The sequence below is a fragment of the Homo sapiens genome, chromosome 14 (assembly GCF_000001405.40).
Source record: "Homo sapiens chromosome 14, GRCh38.p14 Primary Assembly".
In the NCBI taxonomy this organism is placed as follows: Eukaryota; Metazoa; Chordata; class Mammalia; order Primates; family Hominidae; genus Homo; species Homo sapiens.
The window spans coordinates 63,473,277-63,497,675 of record NC_000014.9 but is presented as its reverse complement, the minus strand read 5'-3'; the positions used below and the strand labels follow the sequence as shown (position 1 = coordinate 63,497,675).

General features: G+C 39.7%; 1 protein-coding gene, 1 non-coding gene and 1 pseudogene across 11 annotated transcripts in view, besides 3 other annotated features; 1 reads left to right on the top strand and 2 right to left on the bottom strand.

Annotated features, from left to right (window-relative positions):
- PPP2R5E (protein phosphatase 2 regulatory subunit B'epsilon) overlaps positions 1–24,399 on the top strand; it is a 172,014-nt gene that overhangs the window by 45,702 nt on the left and 101,913 nt on the right. The gene's annotated exons all lie outside the window — the stretch shown is intronic.
- Positions 13,372–13,871: an enhancer, noted in NCBI's record as "H3K4me1 hESC enhancer chr14:63950523-63951022 (GRCh37/hg19 assembly coordinates)". NCBI's record gives its function as "activates a minimal SCP1, AML or CMV promoter by ChIP-STARR-seq in naive H9 embryonic stem cells {active_cell/tissue: H9 hESC(naive)}" and the evidence as "EXISTENCE:reporter gene assay evidence [ECO:0000049][PMID:30033119]".
- Positions 13,872–14,373: an enhancer, noted in NCBI's record as "H3K4me1 hESC enhancer chr14:63950021-63950522 (GRCh37/hg19 assembly coordinates)". NCBI's record gives its function as "activates a minimal SCP1, AML or CMV promoter by ChIP-STARR-seq in naive H9 embryonic stem cells {active_cell/tissue: H9 hESC(naive)}" and the evidence as "EXISTENCE:reporter gene assay evidence [ECO:0000049][PMID:30033119]".
- On the bottom strand, positions 18,263–18,404 carry LOC124900352 (uncharacterized; annotated as a pseudogene).
- Positions 18,555–18,694: an enhancer, noted in NCBI's record as "active region_8505". NCBI's record gives its function as "activates an Ori minimal core promoter by ATAC-STARR-seq in GM12878 lymphoblastoid cells {active_cell/tissue: GM12878}" and the evidence as "EXISTENCE:reporter gene assay evidence [ECO:0000049][PMID:35858748]".
- Positions 19,796–19,902, bottom strand: LOC124903414 (U6 spliceosomal RNA). The gene has a single exon (XR_007064393.1). It is a non-coding gene; the product is annotated as a U6 spliceosomal RNA (small nuclear RNA).

Here is a 24,399-nt window from a genome sequence, read left to right as displayed (position 1 = left end):
CCCAGTTTCAAGCGATTCTCCTGCCTCAGCCTCCTGAATAGCTGGGATTACAGGCATGTGCCACCATGTCCGGCTAATTTTTGTGTTTTTTGTAGAGACGGGTTTCACCATGTTGACCAGGCTGGTCTCGAACTCCTGACCTCAGGTGATCCACCTCTGCCTCCCAAAGTGCTAGAATTACAGGGGGGAGCCACTGCACCTGGCCAGGTTCATGTGTTTTTATACTCATTTAGTTACCCTGTATTTTTTTAGTTATCTTTGGAGATGGAAGAGGTGTGGATAATCCAGAGATGATGCTTGTAGTCAAGAAAGAGTAATTGTGGCCTTTTGATGGGGAGCCAAGTTTTATGAAATCCCACGGAGTCAGTCTTCAGATCCAGGGTTCTTAATTGGCTAGAGATCTTGCAAGTTATTTTGCCATGTTGTTTTTTGAAGGGAAAGGAAATACTGTCATACGTTTATGCATCTGTATATAAAATGGTTAGAAATGGTATCATATAGGTATTGCATGTTTGTGATCATAACTGCCTGAATAAAGGTTAAAATGTCATGGGAAAATGGGAAAACTTAAGCAGGAGGAAATAGAGATAGTTTATTTTTAGCAATTTAGAATGTTCCATTTAAAAGCAGTTAAACTGGCTAGAGCTGTGGGCAGGGGGAGGGGTACTGGGGTGGTTTAAAGGCCATAGCTATTATGGTGAGTGCCTGACATTTTGATTTGAAGTGTGTCTCTGCCTGTGTATTTTAGAACCAGAAAAATTCTTGGAAAACTACCTTTTTTTTTTTTTAAACTGTGTACCCAGATAAAATAGTTTGTTATTCCAAATCTAGAATTGAGATTTTAATTTTTATTAATTTTTATTTCTGTCAGTCTTTCAGGCATTTGGCTTCTTTGCTTATTCTTTTAAGATTTAAGTCGGAGAAGAAAAATCACATCCATTAGTTTTGATTACTCAGATCAATAAATTGAAAAGGAAAATTAGAATCATTTAAATTTGACTGCATATGATGAGATTCTGCTAAATTAAACTATAAATTACATGTTTATTAAGCACTTTGTAAACACTTATTAAAACAATGTTCTAAATTGAACTATTTCCCTCTGTATATGTTCTTAGTTATTGATGGGTTATGGTTCAAGAGGCGAGCTGGATGAGGTTTCTTAACTCTTTGAGGTTGGTTTGGCAAATTTAATTAAGCCTTAAGTGGCTCACTCTTTTTTTTTTTTTTTTGAGACAGAGTCTTACTCTGTTGCCTGGGCTGGAGTGTAGTGGCGTGATCTTGGCTCATTGCAATCTCCGCCTCCCAGGTTCAAGCGATTCTTGTGCCTCAGCCTGTAGAGACAGGGTTTTACTATGTTGGCCAGGCTGGTCTCTAACTGCTGACCTCAGGTGATCTGCCTGCCTTGGCCTCCCAAAGTGCTGGGATTACAGGCATGAGCCACTGTGCCTGGCCAAGTGGCTCACTCTTGAGGGCTCAAGCAGTGTTGGAATAATGTTGCTGGATAAACGGTGAACACCAATACATCCCAGTGTATGATGCAGAATAATCCACAAAGCATGATTTATAGAAGTAGTGATATTTAACAAAAAAAATCTTCAACACTTAATATGTAAAATGAACAGTGCAAATTGTTTTTAAGTCTTGGTCTTGAAAAATACTGTAGATGGCTTAACCATATGCTTGGCTGGGCATGGTGGCTCACGCCTGTAATCCCAGCGCTTATGAAAGGCTGAGGCGGGAGGATCGCTTGAGCCCAGGAGTTGGGACCAGCTCGGGCAACATAGGGAAACCTTGTCTCTACAAAAATCAAAGAAACTAGCTGGGCAAGGTGGTACATGCCTGTTTTCTCAGTTACTTGGGAGGCTGAGGCAGGAGGATCATTTGCACGCAGGAGGTTGAGGCTGCAATGAGCCATGATTGCACCACTGCACTCCAGCCTGGGTTACAGAGAGAGATCCTCTCTTGAAAAAATGAACAAAAAAACCCCAAAAATGCTTGCCAAAAAAAAAGAAAAGAAATTAGTATATATTCTTTTAGACTTTTTTGTCTACATATACATATATGTAGACATGTTTATTTTACTTTATTTTTTTAAATGGAGCCTTGCACTGTCACCCAGGCTGAAGTGCAGTGGCACAATTTCAGCTCACTGCAACCTCTGCCTCCCGGGTTCAAGCAGTTCTCCTGCCTCAGCCTCCCTAGTTGCTGGGATTACAGGTCACCACATTGCCCAGCTAATTTTTTTTTTTTTTTTTGTATTTTTAGTAGAGATGGGGTTTTGCCATGTTGGCCAGGCTGGTCTTTAACTCCTGACCTCAAGTGGTCTGCCCGTCTCAGCCTCCCAAAGTGCTGGGATTTCAGGCGTGAACCACCGTGCCTGGCCAGACATGTTTATTTTTATAAAAATAGTACTGTACTCTTTCTCTCTCACTATATATATTTTTATGAATTTTTTTGTGTGTGTGTCTTTGAGACAGAGTCTCACTCTGTCACCCAGGCTGGAGTGCAGTGGCGCGTTCTTGGCTCACTGCAACCTCCTCCTCCCGGGTTCAAGTGATTGTCCTGCCTCAGCCTCCCAAGTAGCTGGGATTACTGGTGCATGCCTCTGGGCCAGCTAATTTTTGTATTTTTAGTAGATACGGGGTTTCACCATGTTAGCCAGGCTGGTCTCCAACTCCTGACATCCAGTGATCCGCCTGCCTCAGCCTTCCAAAATGCTGGGATTACAGGCATGAGCCACCATGCCTGGCCTTTTTGTTTTTGCTTTTTGTTTTTTGAGATAAGGTCTGGCTCTATTGCTCAGCCTGGTGTGCAGTGGCGTGATCTTGGCTCATTGCAGCCTCCGCCCCCTGGGCTCAAGCCATCCTCCCATCTCAGCCTCCCAAGTAGCTAGGTAACTACAGGCACGCACCACCATGCTTGGCTAGTTTTTGTATTTTTTGTAGAGATGGGATTTTGTCATGTTGTCCAGGCATGTCTTGAACTGGTGAGCTCAAGTAATCCACCCACCTCAGCCTCCCAAAATGCTGGGATTACAGGCATGATCCACCATGTTGGCCTCTGTGAATGTTTCATTTCCTACTGAAAAGTTTGTCATTTTTTTTTGGTTGTCTTTTTTTTTTTTTTAAATGGCTGTACAGCCGGGCGCGGTGGCTCACGCTTGTAATCCCAGCACTTTGGGAGGCTAATAGGGGCAGATCACCTGAAGTCAGGAGTTCAAGACCAGGCTGGCCAACCTGGTAAGACTCTGTCTCTACTAAAAATACAAAAAATTAGCCGAGTGTGGTGGTACACACCTGTAATCCCAGCTACTCAGGAGGCTGAGGCAGGAGAATTGCTTAAACCCAGGAGGTAGAGGTTGTAGTGAGCTGAGAATGTGTCACTGCCCTCCAGCCTGGGCAACAGAGTGAGACTCTGTCTCATAAATAAATAAATAAATAAATGGCGGTACAGTCTTCTAAGGTATGAATAAGTAGTTACTTACTTAAGACCACTTTCTTATTGATAACATCTGGAGCATTTTTATTTTACTGCTGTTGTAAACAACGCTGGTGGGGAGCTACTTAAGACATATCTCTGTGTTCACATAGGGGAGTATGTCTATAGGATACATTCTTAAAAGTGGAATTCTGGGTAAAAAATAAAAGCCTTGGTAGGTGCTGCTAAATTGCTTTAGACGTTGCGTTTTACATTTCTAGTAGAGTATTTGAGAATACCTTCTTCCTACAGTTTAAACAGTTAAAATTTAAAGCTATAATTTTAAAAAGAACAAGTAACCCGACTTTAGGAGTTGGAACATCATCTGAATACTTGACCATCATTACTGGTTAATCTTATTTTTAAAAGTTTACAAGCTAAATTAGTTAGTGAGGCAGATAGCATCACTTCCACAGTGATTTAAGAATCCTGTGTCATTTGAAGCTCACCTGTTTAATATTCCTAGAGTACTTCATTATATTGTTATCCTTCATGTTTAGTAATATCAGAAATTTTGTCAGAAATATGTCTTGCCACATGTGCAAAACTAACAGCTTGAGTACAGTTTGTCACACTGGATACAGTGTAAGCAGCCTTTATTTAGCTGCTGTCACAACTGTTTCTGGTGTTTTTGCTCTCTACCAATGATTCTCACCTAGGGGTTCTTTTGCTCCCCTCCCCCTCCCCCCACCACACACACGCACACACACACGCGCGCGCGGTAATTTGGCAATGTCTGGAGAGACCTGGTTGTGACACTTGAGAGAGGATTGAAGCGGGAAAGAGTAAGGACTTGCTACTGGCATCTAGTGGCAGACAGGCCAGGGATGCTGCTAAATATTCTATAGTTCACAGAAGAGCTGCTCACAATAAATAGTTATCTGATTAGCTTGGCTTGGTGGCAAGTGCCTGTAGTCCCAGCTACACAGGAGGCAGAGGCAGGAGGATCACTTGAGCCCAGGAGTTTGGGGTTAAAAAAAAAAAACAACCCACCAAACCAAAAAAGAGTTATCTGGGCCTGACTATCAACAGTGCTTTACACAAAGGAGTTAGGGTGCTCTATCATACAACTATCTGATGATTCTTTTGCTTAAACTGATTCTACCCCATTTCTTATGGCTGCGTGCCACACTCACCTTTAGTAGATCAGAATTCCTTGCCTAGAGCGGCTGGCTGCTCTTGACTTTGTGTTGCTGTTTCTAGCTTTTTCATGTTTTGCTCAGTGGTAGGGACAGGCAGGCCAATTTAGTAGAGCTTGACAAAGTGAAGCCTGGTATCTTCTATGAGGCTATAAACGTTGTCTAAAGACGCAATTTCTGGTTCTGATAAGGCTCCTGGTAATTCCTGGACTGGAAGACTTGGCTGTCATTGTTTTGCTGTTAAGTACCCCTTCCACTCAAATGCAAAAGTAAAACACACACATGCCACCATCCTTCCCAACCAAACCAAAACAAAAAAATTCAACAAACAAAAACAAAACACTTGATGATCAAGGAGAACCTATGATAACTCTTCTTATTCCACATTTCAAGTTTGTACTTGATCTGTGCCATCATACAAGAAACCCAACTGGTATGACTGTCCTGAGTGCATTTCCAGTGAAGAGGCTGGGAGAGTCCAAAAGAATGTTTTGAGTCATCAGATCCTTTTAAAATGTCAGATTCTTTCCATGGGATTAATTTAAACCTGTTATGACCCTTTAAAAATTTTTATAAGAGGCCTCAGAGCCATAATAACATGGAATACTGCTTGTTTAGTAGAAGCCTTTCTAAAGGCCACCTTTATATTTGGTTTAATTTTTTACATTGTCAACCATCATGTAAGAGAGAAACAGGAATTTTTGAGTCCTTAACTGGGAAGAACAGCTGCTTGGTGCAGAAAGTCTCATGAAGTAAGTCTCCTTTTGAATAAAAAGGAAGATCTCCTATTAGAAAATAAAGCATTATTATTTTTTCTTCCTTTTTCATGACAATTTAGGTTTAGGCTAAGCATATTAGGTATATATAAAGATGTAAAAAATCAGTGTGCTTTTAAGATAAACCTGTAATTCTTGTTCAGAGGTAGTAAGCTGTAGGTCGGGTTATTGAAGAACAGAGAATTATTAGGTTTCTTTTGTGAACACAGAAAGTTTCTGGGCTCTTCCAGGGCCTAGGGAGTGGAAAGTTTTCCCCTTTGTTTCTTGATGTGTTTCTTTGTCCCCTTTGTTTCCTTTATTGTCTTACTTTAGTGCTCCCCAATAAAAATATGATACCACAAATGTAGGACACATATGTAATTTTAAATTTTCTAGTAGCCAGATTTTAAAAAAGTGAAAAACAGAAGAAATTGATTAATTAATTAATTTTTTTGAGATGGAGTTTCATTCTTGTCACCCAGACTGGAGTGCAATGGTGCAATCTCTGCTCACTGCAACCTCTGCCTCCCAGGTTTAAGCGATTCTCCTGCCTTAGCCTCCTGAGTAGCTGGGACTACAGGTGCATGCCACCATGCCTGGCTAATTTTGTATTTTTAGCAGAGACGGGGTTTTCCCATGTTGGCCAGGCTGGTGTCGATCTCCTGACCTCAGGTGATCTGCCCACCTTGGCCTCCCAAAGTGTTGCCATTATAGGCATGAGCCACCGTGCCCAGTCTGAAATTAATTTTAATAATATACTTTCTTTAACTCAGTATATCTAAAATATTATCATTTCAACATGTAACCAATATAAAAATGAGCTATTTTTAGATTCTTTTTTTCACACTACATCTTTGAAGTCTCATGTGTATTTTATATTTACAGCATATCTCAATAAGGACTGGTCATACTGCTTTTTTTTTAAAATTATAGATTCAGGGAGTCCACGTACAGGTTTGTTACATGAATATATCACTCTATGCTGAGGTTTGGTTTCGAATTGAACTTGTTATCCAAATAGTGAACATAGTATCCAGTGGGTAGTTTTTCAACCCTTGCCACCTGGCTTCCCCCTTCTAAAGTCCCCAGTGTTTATTGTTCGTATCTTTATGTTCATGTGTACCCAATGTTTAGCTCCTACTTTTAAGTGAAAATATGCAGCATTTGGCTTTCTGTTCCTGTGTTAATTCAGTTAGGATAATGACCTCCAGCTGTATTCACGTTGCAAAGGACGTGATTTCATTCTTCTTATGCTGCATAGTATTCCATGGTGTATATGTTCCACATTTTTTTTTTTTATCCAGTCCACTGTTGAAGGTTGATTCCATATCTTTCCTATTGTGAATAGTGCTATGATGAACATGAGAGTGCAGGTGTCTTTTTGGTTGAACAACCATTTATTTTTCTTTGGGTATATATCCGGTAATGGAATTGCTGGGTCAAATGGTAATTCTATTTTTAGTTCTTTGAGAAATCTCCAAACTGCTTAACATAGGGGCTGAACTAATTTACAATCCCATCATCAGTGTATGAGCGTTCCTTTTTCTCTGCAACCTTGCCAACATGTTATTTTTTGACTTTTTAATAGTACTCATTCCGACTGGTGTGCGATGGTATCTCGTTGTGATTTTGATTTGCATTTCCCTGATGATTAGTGATAGTGAGCATTTTTTCATAGGCTTGTTGACTGCTTGTATGTCCTCTTTTGAGAAGTGTTTGCTCATGTCCTTTGCCCGCTTTTTAATGGGGTTGTTTTTTTCTTGTTGATTTGTTTGAGTTTCTTCTAGATTCTGGATATTAGTCCTTCATCAGATGTGTAGTTTGCAGATATTTTCTCCCATTCTGTAGGTTGTCTGTTTACTCTGTTGATAATTTCTTTCACTGTGCGGAAGTGCTTTAGTTTAATTAGGTTCCACTTGTCAACTTTTGATTTTATTGCATTCCAGAATGATATTTCCTACGTTTTATTCTAGAATTTTTATAGTTTTGAGATCTTACATTTAAGTCCTTAATCCATTTTGAGTTAATTTTTGTATATGGTGAAAGGTGTAGGGGTCGAGTTTCGTTCTGCATATGGTTAGCCAGTTTTCCCAGCACCATTTATTGACTAGGTAGGACTAGTCATATTTCCCAAGTGCTCAGTAGTTATATGTGGCTAGTGGCTGCTATATTGGTTAGCACAATTTTATTCGGCCTAGTTCTTCTACTCTGCAAGAATTTTACTACTTATTAGCTAGAGGTCATTCAGACTTAGGTATTCATATACTAACATATACATAAAATTTAAGGAAAAAAATATGTTTATAGTTGCTTACCTCAGCTACTTGTTTTTAAGATACTCAAAATATATCATGTTTCAGCATTGTAGGTAATGATATAAATTGGCCTGGACTTCATTGGATTTGTGGCTGTGCGTGTGCCAGTTTTCTAGTTCCATGTATTCTTTAAACATAGATAATGTAGCTGAGAAAGGCATCACTCAGAGAAAAGGAAGATGACTTGTACTTGAATTCTGACATACCATGATAGAAACGTTCTAAATCTTGGTGTCATCAGGAAGCTTGTTGATACCTAAAATTAAGAATTTTGGTATTGGCTGGGCGCAGCAGCTCATGCCTGTAATTCCTGCATTTTGGAAGGCCAGAGGGCAGATTGCTTGAACTTAGGAGTTCAAGACCAGCCTGGGCAATGTGGCAAAACCCCATCTCTACAAAAAATACAAAAATTGGCTGGACATGGTGGTCTGCACCGGTAGTCCCAGCTACTTGGGAGGCTGAGGTGGGAGGATCACTTGAGCCTGGGAGGTCAAGGCTGCAGTGAGCCATGATCGGGCCACTGCACTCCAGCCTGGGTGAGAGTGAGACTCTGTCTCAAAAAAAAAAAAAGAAAACAACAACAACAACAACAAAAATTATGGTATTTGGTGACCAACATTGAGTATGGGGCTATATAAATCCATGAAGAAGAGTTTTGGGACAAATAGTTTGTGTTGAGTGAGGGTATGTGAGAGGCAGTGGTACTTGAAAAGTGAATTAGCAGTTTTCTATGTTCATTTTTTACTTTCCAAATCTTCTTTGGTGAGCCTATACTATTTTTAAAATCAGAAATAAACTACCCCCCCAAATTAATGCAAAAAGTAATTAAATCAAAGCAAGAACAAAACCAAAAATCCAATACCACCAATAGTACACAAAAGTAAAGAGGTTCGAAGACCTGGATTCTAATTCTGGTTCTGTCGTTAACCATCTGTGTGATTTTGGATAAGTCAGTTAACGCCTCTGGGTTTCCATTTCTTCATCTGTAAAACCAGAAATTAAAGTTGCTTAGATTCTTTAGGTCTTTTTGGTCATGTAGTTGGGTAACACAGTTCCATGATAGCTTTCATGAAAGTCTTTTTGGGAATTTTTAAATTTATATTTATATTTATATTTAATTAAATTAATTTATTTATTTAAGATGGAGTCTTGCTCTGTCGCCCAGTCTGGAGTACAGTGGTGCGATCTTGGCTCTCTGTAACCTCTGCCTCCTGGGTTCAAGCAATTCCCTTGCCTCAGCCTTCCGAGTAGCTGGGACTACAGGTATGCGCCACCACGCCAGGCTAATTTTTGTATTTTTAGTAGAGATGGGGTTTTGCCATGTTGGCCACGCTGGTCTCAAATTCCTGACTTCAAGTGATCTGCCCAACTCAGCCTCCCAAAGTGCTGGGATTACAGGCATGACCCACAATGCTTGGCCCTTTTTTGGGAATTTTTTAGAAGGAATTATAGAGTCTAGGGGATTCTCTTAAAATCATTCACACGGCTGGGTACAGTGGCTCACACCTGCAATCTCAGCACTTTGGGAGGCCAAAGTGGGAGGATTGCTTGATCTCAGGAGTTTGAGACTAGTCTGGGCAACATAGCAAGACCCTGTCTCTACAAAAAGAATAAAACAAAAATTAGGTAGGCATGGTGGTGTGCGCCTCTAGTCTTAGCTATTTGGGAGGCTGAGGTGGGAGGATTGCTTGGACCAAGGATTTTGAGGCTGCAGTGAGCAATGATTGTGCCACTGCACTCCACCCTGGGCAACAGAGCAAGGCCCTGTCTCAAAAAAAAAAAATCATTCACTGAAAGAATATTTATTAAATGCCTGCTAAGTAGCAAGCAGTGCCCTTTAGCAGGAAAGCGTTTGGAAGAAATTGTCCTAAGTAGGTGTGTGGGTGAGATGGGGTGGAAAGAAGCAAAAACATGAGAGCGAATAATAGAAATAAAATATTTATGTAATACAGTATAATGTAAAAGGTGCTTCCCAGTTTTGTGTCTCATTTCATGTCATTTTTTATTTTGGAGACATGAGGGAGAATATAAGGAAGCAGTTGAGACCATGTGAAAGACAAATAAAGAAGAGGAAGTTACTAAAACCTTGATGGTACTGTAATAAAGCAGTTGGAGTCACCTGAGAAAAGAATATTTGGACTGAATCTGAGAGGAAAATTAAGAAAAAGTGATTATGTTGAGATGATCAATGTGAGGATGGAATCCTGAAATTAAGTGTTGTTGAGTTGTAGAAATAAGAGGAAGTATTCTTTGACAGAGGAAATACATAGAGCATACACGATTGAGATTATTACTGGGTTTAAAGATGTTTTGAAAGGTGAAACACTAATTTGTATAGAAAGGACTAAAATTACAAATTTGTTAAGACCCTCAAAACATAGATATACCTCTCAGGCTTATATAGCAGTCTCTGAATGCTTTTCAGAAATCATTAGATTGATTTCGAAATGCCTACATCGTTGGCATTGACCCCATCCATTTATCCACACTTTTCACTTCCCTTCTTTTTAACCATTCTCAAGCTTCTCCTCTCCAAACTATTCACCTGAAGAAGCAAAACATCTGTTGGTGTTACTAGCAACAATGTTTAGGAGCATTGGAGAAAAAGACAAGAGGAATTTAAGAGGGGGGGGTGGTAAATTATAATAGTTCTAATTCCAAATCTGATTTCCTACTGGACTATATCACATTTCTCTTATTTTATGTCTTAACAACTTGAGCTAATGTTTATTTTCACTTTCAAGTAATATGACATTATGGAAATTGAGGCAATGTGTTAAAATACTAGGATACTGGTTTTGTGTTACTTTTCTCGACAAATAACTTTCTCAGATTCTTCCTAAGGTAGGAAATATTCTTGTTAGAGGGCCTGAGTATAGATGTGGGTTTATGGACAGCTGTATTGGAAATACATTATTTGTTACAGAAGCATGTGGGTTTGAGACAGTTCAGCTGTATTCATGTTATGTGCTGGTCTCATAGGACTACAGGGATGCAAATATAATTGTATATAATTCAAGAGGGCAGATATGATTGCATCATGCAGTCAAATTAAGTGCTGTAAGAGAGATGTGAATGAGGGGCCCCTGCAGCTCAAAGGATGGGAGAGATCACATCAGGTTCAGGGAATCAGCCAGGAAAGTCTTCATGAAAGAAGTGTCATTTGAGAGAACCCTCTAAGGGTGGTTGGAGAGAAAGGCTGGAGTGGAAAGGGGCCTTCAGAGTTAACAGACCAGGGGTTAGACATGGGATTAGCTGAGCCACAGACTGGGACTTAAAGTTTATGCGGGATGGTGGGGAAAAAGGAGGCAGGAAAGCAGGAACAGGATAGGAAAGGAAATGGGAGGGTGGGAAACAGTGGAGTACTGTGGACCACATGTGTTTTGCAGCTTTATATTCTGGTATAACCCAAATGATGGTATTGGTAAACACTTGTGATGGGATTTTGTATCTAGTGTGTATATAATTTAGTATACATTTCAAAGTAAGAATACTGGCCTATATACATAATAGATATTTATGTATGAATGTGTGTGTAACTTATACCAGAAAAGAGTGCTCCTTTTGGGATTTGTTAGGGAACCTACCATTTGTGCAAATGTTTCTACTTGTGAGCATCATGAAGAAAAATTGCTCCCTGGTAGAAATGTTTAAAGGATGTGTGTGTGTGTGTGTGTGTGTGTGTGTGTGTGTAATGGGGAAAGAAAGATGGGTGGGGTCGGGGGAGGAGAAATCAGGAGAGGGGAGGAGAGAAGTGGGAATTGGGAAAAGAGGACCTAGAACTTTAAAATGGGATTAGGGTACATTTTTTAGAGGAAATGCCTTTAGGGGACTTCGCCATCAAAAACGTTTGTTGTCGGCCAGTGCAGTGGCTCATGCCTATAATCCCAGCACTTTGGGAGGCCGAGGTGGGCAGATCACCTGAAATCAGGAGTTTGGGACCAGCCTGGCCAACATGGTGAAACCCTGTCTCTACTAAAAATACAAAAATTAGCTGGGCGTAGTAGCGCATGCCTGTAATCCCAACTACTTGGGAGGTGGAGGCAGGAAAATCACTTGAACCTGGGAGGTAGAGGTTACAGTGAGCTGAGGTCGTACCACTGCACTCCAGCCCTGGGTGACAGAGGGAGACTCAGTATCAAAAAAAAAAAAAAAAAAAAAGTTTGTCAGTATATGTACAATGACAAAGATAATAGTGTTAATTCTTATGAATTACTAGAAGTGAAAACACTTGCAGACTTTTATTTTTCTCTACCTTAAAAAAATCATGGCTGGCTGGGCGCGGTGTCTCATGCCTGTAATCTCAGCACTTTGGGAGGCCGAGGCGGGTGGATCACCTGAGGTTGGGAGTTCGAGACCAGCCTGACCAACATGGAGAAACCCCGTCTCTACTAAAAATACAAAATTAGCCGGACGTGGTGGCACATGCCTGTAATCCCAGCTACTCGGGAGGCCGAGGCAGGAAAATCGCTTGAACCTGGGAGGCAGAGGTTGTGGTGAGCCGAGATCGTGCTGTTGCACTCCAGCCTGGGCAACAAGAGTGAAACTCCGTCTCAAAAAAACCCCCCAAAAAACGAACAAAAAAAACAAACCATGGCTTAGTGCCTGTAGTCCCAGTTACTCTGGAGGCTGAGGCAGGAAAATTGCTTAAGGCCAAGAGTTCGAGACCTGCTTGAGCAACATAGTGAGACCTCTGTCTCTAAAATACATAAAATAAAATAAAATGGAAGAGGGTATTCACATATCTTAATTCATATTGTTGCCAGTATGTTTTTTTTTTTTTTTTTTTTAAATGAGTATAGCAGTAGCAGTTCTTTTGTGAATTAGATAACAGGCTAAACTTCTGTAAAAGAAATTGATGTTTCTTTTGGATAGAACATTTACTTTTGTGAAAACAATACAAGTAAAAAAGCTGTTGAAAGAAATGACTGTTGAATTTGAATATATTAATTGCTTCAGAGGTGTTTATTTTTCTTTTCTTAAAGTGCTGAAAAACTATTTAATTTTAAAATAAGAGTGCTGTTGCATTGTTCCTTAATACAGAAGTATTGTTGAAAGTGCAACCTCTCAGGAAAGATGAGCAAACTTGTTTTTTGTGGGTAGTTCTTTGCTGCTTAGGATTCCTGTAAATTTACAAGATACTATTGGCTTATGTGTTTTTATTGTGAATTACTAAAATATTAGGCCATAAAAATCAAACTTTGTGGTGCCCTGATAGTGTTTTTGAACCTCTCCATATCTTTTGCTAGCTTAAGGAAAGTGTGAAGGACTTTGAAAATATACCTGGCCTAGACTTAGAACTTACTGTGTCTGGCCTTCCCAATTTTTTCAGTAGGTTCAGAATACTTCTCTTTGGTTTGAATTATAATTTTGTTTCTTGTGGTTCCAAAAGTTATCTGTAATAGCCTCGTTCTTGTCATTGCCTCATTCTTAAGAAGTTGCTTTTTTTGCTTTTGAATATTTGTGGGTGTTTGACACAGTGTATGCTTAAGACAGATGAAAAAAATACTAATAATAGTGTTCATGTGAGCAAGTTCATTCTGAAAAAGGAAATGCTTAGAAGTCCTTGGTGTTCTTCTTTACACTTGATACGATTCTTTGTGTGTGTGTGTGTGTGTGTGTGTGTGTGTGTGTGTGTGAGAGAGAGAGAGAAAGAGAAAGAAAGAGATCGATCATATCCATTCTGATGCCTTCAGTTTCCCCTCTCAGGCTTTTTAGTCTGTATCTCCAGGCTAGAAAATTTTCTCCAGTCCAGACTTGTATTTCCAGCTACTCCTTGGTCCGGTCCCTTTCACAGGTTTCCTGCCTTTAGGGAGTGGCCCCATCATCTCTGTTGTGGCCTGAGCTTCATTGCTTTGGGCCCTTTATCTTTCTGCTTCTAACTCCTTGGGAGTTTTTTTTTTTTTGGTGGAGTCTCACTCTGTCACCAGGCTGGAGTGCAGTGGTGTGATCTCGGCTTACTGCAACCTCCGCCTCACCAGTTCAAGCGATTCTCCTGCCTCAGCCCCCCTGAGTAGCTGGGACTATAGGCGCGCGCCACCAGTCCCGTCTACTTTTTGTATTTTTAGTAGAGACAGGGTTTCACCATATTGGCCAGGCTGGTGTCGAACTCCTGACCTCGTGATCCACCCGCCTCGGCCTCCCAAAGTGCTGGGATTACAGGTGTGAACCACCATGCCTGGCCTCGGGAGCTTTTTGAGTCTGTGCTGCTCTCTCCTTCCCCCATCTCGGCTCTGCTCTTTCCTTTCTTCCTATTGTGGGAATGTCAATACGTCTCTGTCTCTAGCGTGGCCCCTGTGGACCCACCTTTCATGGAGCTGCCTGCAGGAGCTGGTAGTGTGCTCCCTTGGACCCCACAGCAGAAAATGGAAGCTCTCGGATCTGAACCTGCCCAGCTTTTCTCTAGTGGCGCCCTCTTTCCTCCTCCCAGTTCATGGGGAGCTGCCTGCCGTGAATGCGCTGTGTACGTGCACCTCTCTGTGCCCTTTCTGCACGGGCTATTTATTCTCTTGGCTGGGAGAGCCCTTCTTCCTCTTGTGATTCTGGCCAACCCCTTCTTTTTGCTCTCTCAAGAGTTGGCTCAGATATCACTACTTCTTTGAGGGAGAACTAGGTATCTCCTCCTCATTCCCACTGACAGCCTTAATCTCCTATAGTACTTACCACACTGATGTCATAATTAGGCAAATATCTATCTTCTTTATGTCTGCGAGTGCATTCTGTTTAAAACTGTGACCCCCCCTCCCCATGTTCCTTTCCTTGCTCTGCTTATTTTTTCTCTTGCACTTGTCTGTTTTCAACATACTGTATGATTTTTTAAAAAAAATTTTATTTATATTTTTAAAGTACAGATGAGATCTTGCTATGTTGCCCAGGCTGGTCTTGAACTCCTGGGCTCAAGCAATCTGCCTGCCTCAGCTTCCCAAAGTCCTAGGATGACAGGTGTGAGCCACTGGGCCTGGCCTATATTATGTTCTTATTTCTAATGTTTATTATCTGTGCATCCTGCTAGAGTGTAAACTCCAGCAGGACAGAAATCTTTGTCACTTTTGTTCACTGCGGTATTGTCGGTACCTAGAACAGTGTCTGAGCCCTAGAAAATGCTCAAAATTATTTGTTCAAGGAATGTGTACTTGTATGTTGAGGGCCCAGCTCACAGTAGGCCTTGGGTAAATTAAACTGATGATGAACAGGTTATTCTGTTAGATTTTCTAGGGGCTGTCTGACTATGCCTTGTTTTGGTACTTAAAAGTAAATATAATTAAACACTTTTTAAGATTTTTATGCATTCAGATAAAATGTTTTGTTAACAGTCTGGTTTACTGTATTTATTAGTTTCAGATGTCGGAGTCAGCCAGATGTGTTTCATGCCTTCTCATATTACTCCCCTTTCTTGCGTAAACCAAACCCCAACAACTAAATAAATAAAGATTTCACCAAAGGTCATGTTTTCAGAATACCATCTAAATAGAGGCTAAAATCACGCGTGACTCATGGCAACAGTTTTTTTTTGTTGTTGTTGTTTTCCAAGACGGAGTCCCACTCTGTCACCCAGGCTGGAATGCAGTGGTGCGATCTTGGCTCACTGCAACCTCTGCCTCCTGGGTTCAAGCAATTCTTGTGCCTCAGCCTCCTGAGTAGCTGAGATTACAAGCACGCGCCACCATGCCCGGCTAATTTTGTATTTTTAGTAGAGACGGGGTTTCACCATGTTGGCCAGGCTCGAACTCCTGACCTCAGGTGATCTGCCCACCTCAGCCTCTCAAAGTGCTGGGATTACAGACATGAGTCACTGTGCTCGGCCTCCATGCCAACAGTTTTCAAACATTTTTGCTCATATAGGCTTGAAAGAATTTTGTAAAACAATGTATTTTTTGTATTGATTCTGAAAAGTTTTTTTCCTACATGTTTACATAGTTGCATAACGTGTAATTTCTAGGATATTTTAAAATGTTGACATTTAATAATTAAACTGTTGCATTACTTTTATATATGTATTTAAAGGTACTGGTGGACAGCAATTTGTTTCCTACCATCATCTTCTAAAAAATTGAATGAATTCTTTAACTGTTTGTTGAAGTTGTATTTCCATTGTACTCACTCCAGAATTTTGTCAGAATAAAAAATATTTTTAGACTCGAAAGTCTTATTAACCGATAACCCTCTCATACTTCTCATACTTTAAAAATATATCATTTTAAAATAAAGAAAGTTAAAATGTCTTGTGACCATGAGGCTGTGTTAATTCAATTCAGAAGTAAACAGAATTTGTCATTGCCATTATCACATAATTCAAACTAATATAAAGGTATTACATTTTGATAAATGATTGTTAAAACTATTAAATAGTTATTGGAAATGTATCTCAATGAAATGCATAGGACTGTGGCTTTTTTTAAATTAAATAAATGAGCTCTTCATACATGGGTGAATATTGATTATTGCCAGAATGGGGATTTAGCATCAATTTTTTTTTTTTTTTTTTTTTTTTGAGATGGAGTCTTGCTCTATCGCCCAGGCTGGAGTGCAGTGGTGCGATCTCGGCTCACTGCAACCTCCGCCCCCTGGATTCAAGCAATTCCCCTGCCTCACCCTCCCTAGTAGCTGGGATTACAGGTGCACGCTACCACGCCCAGCTAATTTTTAAATTTTAAGTAGAGACGGAGTTTCAGCATGTTGGCCAGCTGGTCTCGAACTCCTGACCTCAGGTGATTCACCCGCCTCGGCCTCCCAAAGTGTTGGGATTACAGGTGTGAGCCACCACACCCGGCCAATTCTATTTCATACTTTTCTTTTTTATTGTGATAGAGCACTGACAAATCCTAATTATATAAATAAGAGATAGGAATGGGAAGTGTTCTGTTATTGCAGCATCACTCAGTCCCTTGAACTGTTTCTGAGTTATGTGTCAAAAATCAATCTACCACCAAAAATTATTTTTGATGACAATTGGTTAGATCCTCCTTCAGTATTGTTGAAAGCAGATAAACTACTAGATTTGCAAAAGAATTTGTTTTCCAGTTGCTATTTTCTTAACACTCAAACCGACCCTTTGTTTGGTGACAGGGAGGGAAGTGAGCTGTGCTAAGGTTTGGGATCAGTGAGCAGGTGTGTTTCTCCTTTTAATGTGAGAGAAGGAAGATTTTGAAAGGGAAGCTGAAAAAGAAGAATTTGCAGTGTCATTGCAGACAAGATTTCAGGCTGGTGGTTTTAGGATGAAATACATAAAAAAATGGAGTCTGGCCAGGCACAGTGGCTCATGCCTGTAATCCCGGCACTTTGAGAGGCTGAGAAAGGAGGATCGCTTGAGACTAGGAGTTCGAGACCAGCCTGTGCAAGAAAGTGAGTCCCTATGTCTACCAAAAATTGAAAAAATAGCAGGGCATGGTGGCTTGTGCCTGTAGTCCCAGCTTCTTGGGAGGTTGAGGTGGGAGGTTTCCTTGAGCCCAGGAGTTGGAGGCTGCATTGAACTATGATCACTCTACTGCACTTCAGCCTGGGTAACAGAGTAAGACCCCAACTGTTTTTTTTGAGACAGGGTCTCGCTCTGTTGCCTAGACTGGAGTGCAGTGGTGTGATCTCGGTTCACTGCAGCCTCTGCCTCCCAGATTCAAGCAATTCTCCCACCTCAGCCTCCCGAGTAGCTGGGATTACAGGCACACCAACACACCTGGCTAATTTTTGTATTTTTAGTAGAGACAGAGTTTCACCATGTTGGCCAGGCTGGTCCTGAACTCCTGGCCTCCCATGATCTACCCTCCTTGGCCTCCCAAAGTGCTGGGATTACAGGCATGAGCCACCACACCTGGCCGAGACCCCAACTCTTAAGAAAAAGAAAATTGAGGCTGTGGAAATGAATTTCCTTAAAATTATCTGTGGAGTAAGATTGGTAAAAGGTTGGTAATTTTTGATCCTGGGTGATGAGTATGTGAAGGTTTATTATACTGTCCTTTCTACTTTTGAGTATATTTTAATATTTATATTACAAAAAGGAAAAACAAAGCAAAAATTCTTTGTGGAAAGTTTTACTATGTATGCATTCAAATTTGAGTAGCGACCTTTGGTGCCTTAACACTGTTAGTCTGAGTGTTAACAAAATAAGGCATTCTTTTAGGTTGAACCAGATGAAATTTCCAATATTTGACCATCTTGATGTATAAAACTGGCACTTGCATATGGTTTAACCTAATCTTTTATTGCATATATTAGTTCTTCCCTCTCCATCAGTTTCATTTCACTAACTGGGATTCAGTGAGAATTTTTTTTTAGGTTCTCCCATTCTCAGAGATCATCCTTTTCAGTTAAGATTTGTTGAAAAGAATTTTAGTTTGTTGTCAGTATGGTGTTAGGTGCTACATAGACTGAGTTAAACAGGCAGCCACTTCTTACCTTTATTGTACTAAAGACTTAAGTTATGTTTTGTTCAGTGTCTGTTCTAAGTGTAGACAAACAAACCAGTCAGTTCATTTAGCAAGGTGCCAAGTGAACGGAGCTAGAATATTTAGGGACAGGCAGGTGAAGCTTTCACCTGAATAGTACCTGAGAAGTTGGCTTTATTTATTTTTTTTACTGTAAATGTGTGAGGTAGAAAAACAAGGCTGTCCAGCACGTGGCAGTTCTGAGGATGATCCTTGAGGGGTGATGTCTGCCTCCAGTCTTCGCTGAGGAGAAAAGCACCCCTCCTCCCCCACCCACAGCACCATGGGAGAGAGGCCCTGGAAGTTGACTTTATATAGAAGTTAATCTTCCAGAGAGCTCAGAGTGTATCTCTGTGTGTTTTCATCTTTATTATGAAATCTGGGAATAACAGACTGGAGATAGGTATTGTTCTTAATGATTTTTTTCTTTCTTTCTTTTTTTGAAACAGTCTCACTCTGTCACCCATGTTGGAGTGCAGTGGCATGATCTCAGCTCACTGCAACCTCCTTCTCCTGGGTTCAAGCATTTCTCATGCCTCAGACTCCTGAGTAGCTGGGACTACAGGCGTCCACCACCATACCTGGCTAATTTTTTTTTGGATTTTTAGTACAAGATGGGGGTTTCACCATATTGGCCAGGCTGGTCTCGAACTCCTGGCCTCAAGTGATCTGCCTGCCTCAGGCTCCCAAAGTGCTGGGATTACAGGCATGAGCCACCGTACCCGGCCAATGATTTCTTTATTGAGAAGGAGATTGGCATCTAGAGAAGTTAAGTGACTTAATCTCCTCTCAGGGTAAGTCAGCATTGGAGCCAGGTTCTCATGGTTTCTCAGTGTGTACTTCATATCCTAGATTAGTGGTTCTCAGAGCATGCTTTGGGGATCCCCAAAGGTTCCTGAGACCTTTTCAGGGGTCTGTGAGGTCAAAACTAATTTTATAGTAATACTTAAGACATTATATGTTTTTCCCTCTCCCATGACCGTGTTTTCCAGAATCTGCATTACCTGTACTGTTGCAGGAAATTGAAGCAAAAGTGGGTTTTGAGAATCCAGTTGCTTTCTATTAAGCCAGATGTTAAAGAGATGTATAAAAGTGTAAAATGGTGCCACTTTTCTCACTCATTTTTTTGAGGAAAATGTGGTTTAAAGTAGTTTAAAAAATATTTACAATTGTATTGAAATGAATTAATAAATATTAAAAATTTTCCCATTTTTAATTTTAATGTGGTAAATATTGGTAGATATAATCCATATTTTTAAAAAGCTCTTTGAGATCCTGAGTAATTGTGAAACCAAAAGTTTCACTGAGACCTCTGGGTTTCAGTTTCACCGTTCTCAAAAAGAGGCCAGATGTTAGGTTGCAGAGGACCACAAGTTGTCATTCGATGTGTCCCAAGTCATTTGAAAATAGTCTGTTTTCAGTTCTACAGGATAGATATCCACATCATAAAAACCTTTATTCAATTTGCCCTTCCTTGGTTTCTTATATGTAGTTTAAGCAGGTGACCAAGTATTAACTGAAGCTATGTCATTTTTATTTCCCCATTTGAAGTAGAAAAGCAGCCTCAAGTGAATATTTGAAGGATCTCCAAGCTGAATTGTTTGTCCATGTTTTGTGTAAGAGCAATATCAGTTGGACTTCATTGTTTCTCTCGTGGATTTTTGGATTTGTAGTTTCAGTATACATTTAAAAATTTTATATATATATATTTAAATTTTTTTCTCTTAAAAGAGGTCATGCTAATCTTCTCTGTATCATTCCAGTTTTAGTATATATGCTGCTGAAGTGATAGCACTTCAGTGTACATTTTTATTAAGAGCTTTTTCAGTAAGATCCTGTATTGTATAGATAAGAGAACCTTAACCTTATGGCTGCCTTATACTTTTCTTTGAAAAGGTTTAAGGACCTTCCTTAAAATGAGTATTTGCATTTATTTGGCAATTAAGTTTTATAGGCAATATATCTAATTTGTTTTTCCCTTTTTTTTCTTATTCCCTCTTCTCCTCTCCTTCCCATCTCCTTTCTCCATTACTGCTTTTTTTCTCTTCTCCCCTCCCCTCTTTTAATTGCCATTATGACCTTGGGTGAAATACTTAGTCTCTATGTATCTTGGATTCTCCATTTGTAATGTGTGATGTTGTGAAATAATTTCTGTAAACCACATAGAACATTGCCTGGCTGACTATCAAGGATCAATAAATGTTAGCTGCAATTTTTGTTGTTGTTATCATTAAAGCAGGTTGGCAGTTCCTGGAATGTATTGAGTACTCAATAAATGGTGGTTATTTATATTATTTAATATTACTACATTGCACATTTGCTTTTAGATGGTCTATTGAGTTTGGCTGAGGCAGATGTATAGTAGGTGTAGTAGTAGTATTATATGCTGTCTTAATTTTTTAATGAGAATGGTTTTCTTTTTTTACGAAATGATGCAGATGCTGATACTCTATGGCTGTAATCCAAATATTTAGTAGGTATTGTGGCCTTTATAAGCCTACTCCTGAGAACAGCCCACTAATTAAATGGGAGGTGTGGAGATTTGGTCCTTGTAAATCACCATTTAGAAATGGAGATGTATTGGATTCATATTTTGTGTGTGTGTACGTTTGTAGTAAAGTCATAAAACAGACTCTACTACTCTACAGTCTAAGTGCTTCCTCTTGTTCTTAGTTTTCAGCTGTTAGTGGACACTAGTCAGGTATAATAAAGTAGCTTCTTATTCAGTTAAGTTTGTGTTAAATATGTGATCCTATCTGTGAATGTCATGAATAAGTAATTTATAGATGATTTTATGATTACTAATTGTTAATGGATCTAAAGGCCTTAAAAATCTAAGGATAGAAGAACAGTGATCACCAGCAGTATAGGGTTCTCTGTGCTGGTAATACATCCATATAGTAGGGCATTGAATGCCTAAAAACTACTAATCATTGATTGATTAATAAAACTATTAGTTGGGTGGACAGTAGAGTCTGATTTAGAAGTCAGAGTATGGTATGTGATATTTGAACTGATTGAGCAGGGATTTGAAGCCTCCTTATTAAAGGATATGTTATTAATAATATAAACTTTAGCGGAAGGAGGAGTGGTCTTTTTGTAGCCTATAAGATATGTACTTGAATATAATCTCTGTTACTGAAATATACTTTTGAGCAAAGCATTTATCTTTGGTGAATTTGGGTTTTTCAATTGCAAAGTGAGTATCAAACCTAGCCAGCTTAGCTCACTGGGTTGGTAGGATCATTAAATGAAATAACTCATTTTGATCCAGTGTTGTGCCTTCCATGAGAACAACAACAACAACAAAAAGCAAAAGGGGGGGAAAAAGAAGAAGAAATAATACATTTTGAGAAAGCTTGAAAAACTCGAGCATTATACAGGTTTAAGTTAGCATTCTTCCTACTTTCAAATGTGAGGGCATTGTTTGTGGAATATTCTGACTCCAGCTTGTGTTAATGCTTTTACTTTTTTTGTTGTTGTTTAGGTTTATCAATGACAGATAGAAGATTTAAGTATCATAATCCTCTATTTTTATGGCCATGAATTGAAATGAAGAATGTATGTATTCATGTTTGAATATATAGACATGCATACAATAGCAGTGCTGTTCATGACACTGTAGTTAAGCATTTGTCAGAGTTTCCACTGTAAACTTCCCTTTGAATGTTTTTTCATTTTAGCTTGGCTTTCCTGTGGGTTAAAATTATAGGGCCTGAATATTTTTGGATGGAAACTTTTTCCTTCTTTTTAATAGGGCATGAATGCATGCTATTTAAAAAAACTATCTTATGTTTTTTAATATTTTATCATAAAAGTTTTAAAAGCCACTTCTAGGCAGTGTTTTTCTGTAAATCATTAAGTGTGTTAAATGTTGTGACTTCATACCTATAAACAGTTCTTCTTTGCCTTTGTAGTTTTTCCTCCAAAAATTGTTAGTCTTCAATGTATTATCTAAATGAAAGATTATAAATAATTTTTGTAAACTAATTGTAATATATAAAAAAACAGTGATATATTGAACATCTGGATATCCATCCCAAGTTAAGAAAAAGTAAACTGCCTAGAATTTATAAGCTTCCTTAGACTTTCATCACTAAAAGTGTTCATTGGTCTTTGATTTAAGTATTTGTAAAGTGTGTTGGAAACAGGCCAGGACTTAGACTGCCCCTTTATATCCAGACACCCCCTTCTAATGGATGTCATGTGGTACGTGTGTTCTGGTTTCACGTGACGGATTGGGTGACTCCGTGACCCAAGATCATCCCATCTATAGGCAAGATATAATGTGGCCCAGAGCTTCTACCCAACAGAGAAGAGAGTGAAATGCTGTTCCAGCAGAACCTTTCTCTAGGGAAGTTTGAATTTGATAAAGAGTTGACGAAGGCAGGAATAGATGCTGAAAGACCCAAGAAAAAGAAGCAAAGAAGTGATAAGCCATGTTGATAGGGCAGGGAGGGTGAGGTGTGGGTTGATCTGCCTTGATCATCGCTTCACTGAAATTACTCTTGTCAGGGCCACCTGCATGTCACATGTCTCTCAGCAACGTTGGACACTTGTCCACATTTTCCTTGTAGAAACATACTCTTCTTTGGCTTCTGTGACCCTGCTCAGGTTTTCCTTTTGCCTCTGGCTGTTTCTTCTCATTCTCTTAGCTGGCTCTTCCTCCTCTACTCAACTTGTAAGTGTTGGGTTTCTTCAGAGCTCCTTCTGCTTCACTTTCTGCACTCTTGCCGTAGGTGAGTTCATCCGGCCTATTGGCTTTAAGACCACTTATATATTACCATTTATATGTTGTTGGTGTCCACATTTCTTTTCTTCCTTTTTTTCCCCCAAATATGACATTTCTTTTGCTTTTCTTCTTCTTGTTTTTTTTTTTTTTTTTTTTTTTTTTTGAGATGGGGTATCACTCTATTGCCCAGGCTGGAGTACAGTGGTGCAGTTGTGGTTCACTGCAGCCTCGACCTCCCTGGGCTCAAGCCATCCTCCCATCTCAGCCTCCCGAGTAGCTGGGATTATAGGAGCACACCACTGCGCCCAGCTGAGGTGCCCACATTTCTATCTCCACCTCACTCTTTTCAGACTTTGGTCTTGTATATACAATACATTTCCATGTATATGTCTTATAAACATCTCTAATGTAACACATTGTCAGTGTAACACTTGATTTCCCCCACCAAACTATTTCTTCCCTCTTTTACTTGCTGACTCCTCTGTTCACCCAGGTGCTCAAACCAGACAACCCGGCTCCCACCCACTGAACGTGGAGAAGTGGGGCAAGTGCCAAGAGTCACCTTTGATCCCTCTCTGTCTGTTAGTCACTTTTCACCTCTGTATTCTCCCCCCAGAGTAGTTTCTATCAGCAAGCACAATTGATTCTACCAATTCTTCTTCCAGTAAATTATCTCTAATTTGTCCACTTTGTCTCCAATCCTTCCCACGATTCTGTAACAGTTGCCTCCTATGTAGCTGTAGTCTCCTAACTGGTGTCCCTGTTTCTTATCTTGCCTCTTTTCCATTCATTCAACTCATTGTGACCAGAGTGATCTTTTTAACAATACAAATCATATGAATGTCTCTCCCTCAGGTTTTAATAATACAAACCATGTGCTCACTCCAACTTTAATACTGTCATGATTCTTTACTGAATCCGGAATTAAATCCAGGTTCCTTCTCTTTACCTTTCACTATTTTCTTTTCACCTTGGCTTTTCTATTGCAATTTTTCTGACATCACTAATTAGAATTTAATGTTAAAGTCAAATGCATGTGGGTTAAAACTCCCAAGTTTCTAAAAACTTTAAGAGACTTGATTTTCTCTCTCCATGTCATCCCCTTTTCCTGTTACTCTTCTTCATTTAATAAAATCCACACCAAAACCAAATTACAATTAGCCCTGTCTCAGCCTCTTGAGTCTGATTGCATCAGACATTTCTCAGACTTCCTAGAGAGCTGTTTTGGTTGTTTCATTAGCATTTAGAGGCATTTCTTTAAAATTACGGAAGGTTTTACTCTTGTATATCTTTAGTACACTGTTAGCACTGGGAAATGTCTCAGAGCTTTACTTCTTGTTTTTGCGGGCACTTCATCATCTTGGTTCTCTGTCCCTTCCTATCCTGAGTTTTCTGCCTCATTGTTGAGTTTTCTTTAGCTTGTCTCTAGCTGCCCCATGGTTCCATTTTTAACCTTCTGTTCTTCGTTTTCCCCTTACTCAGTCATTGAGCTTATCTGTTCCTTTGATTTCAACTTTCACCTTTATGGGAAAACTCTGGAATCTCTACCGTTTAATTTAT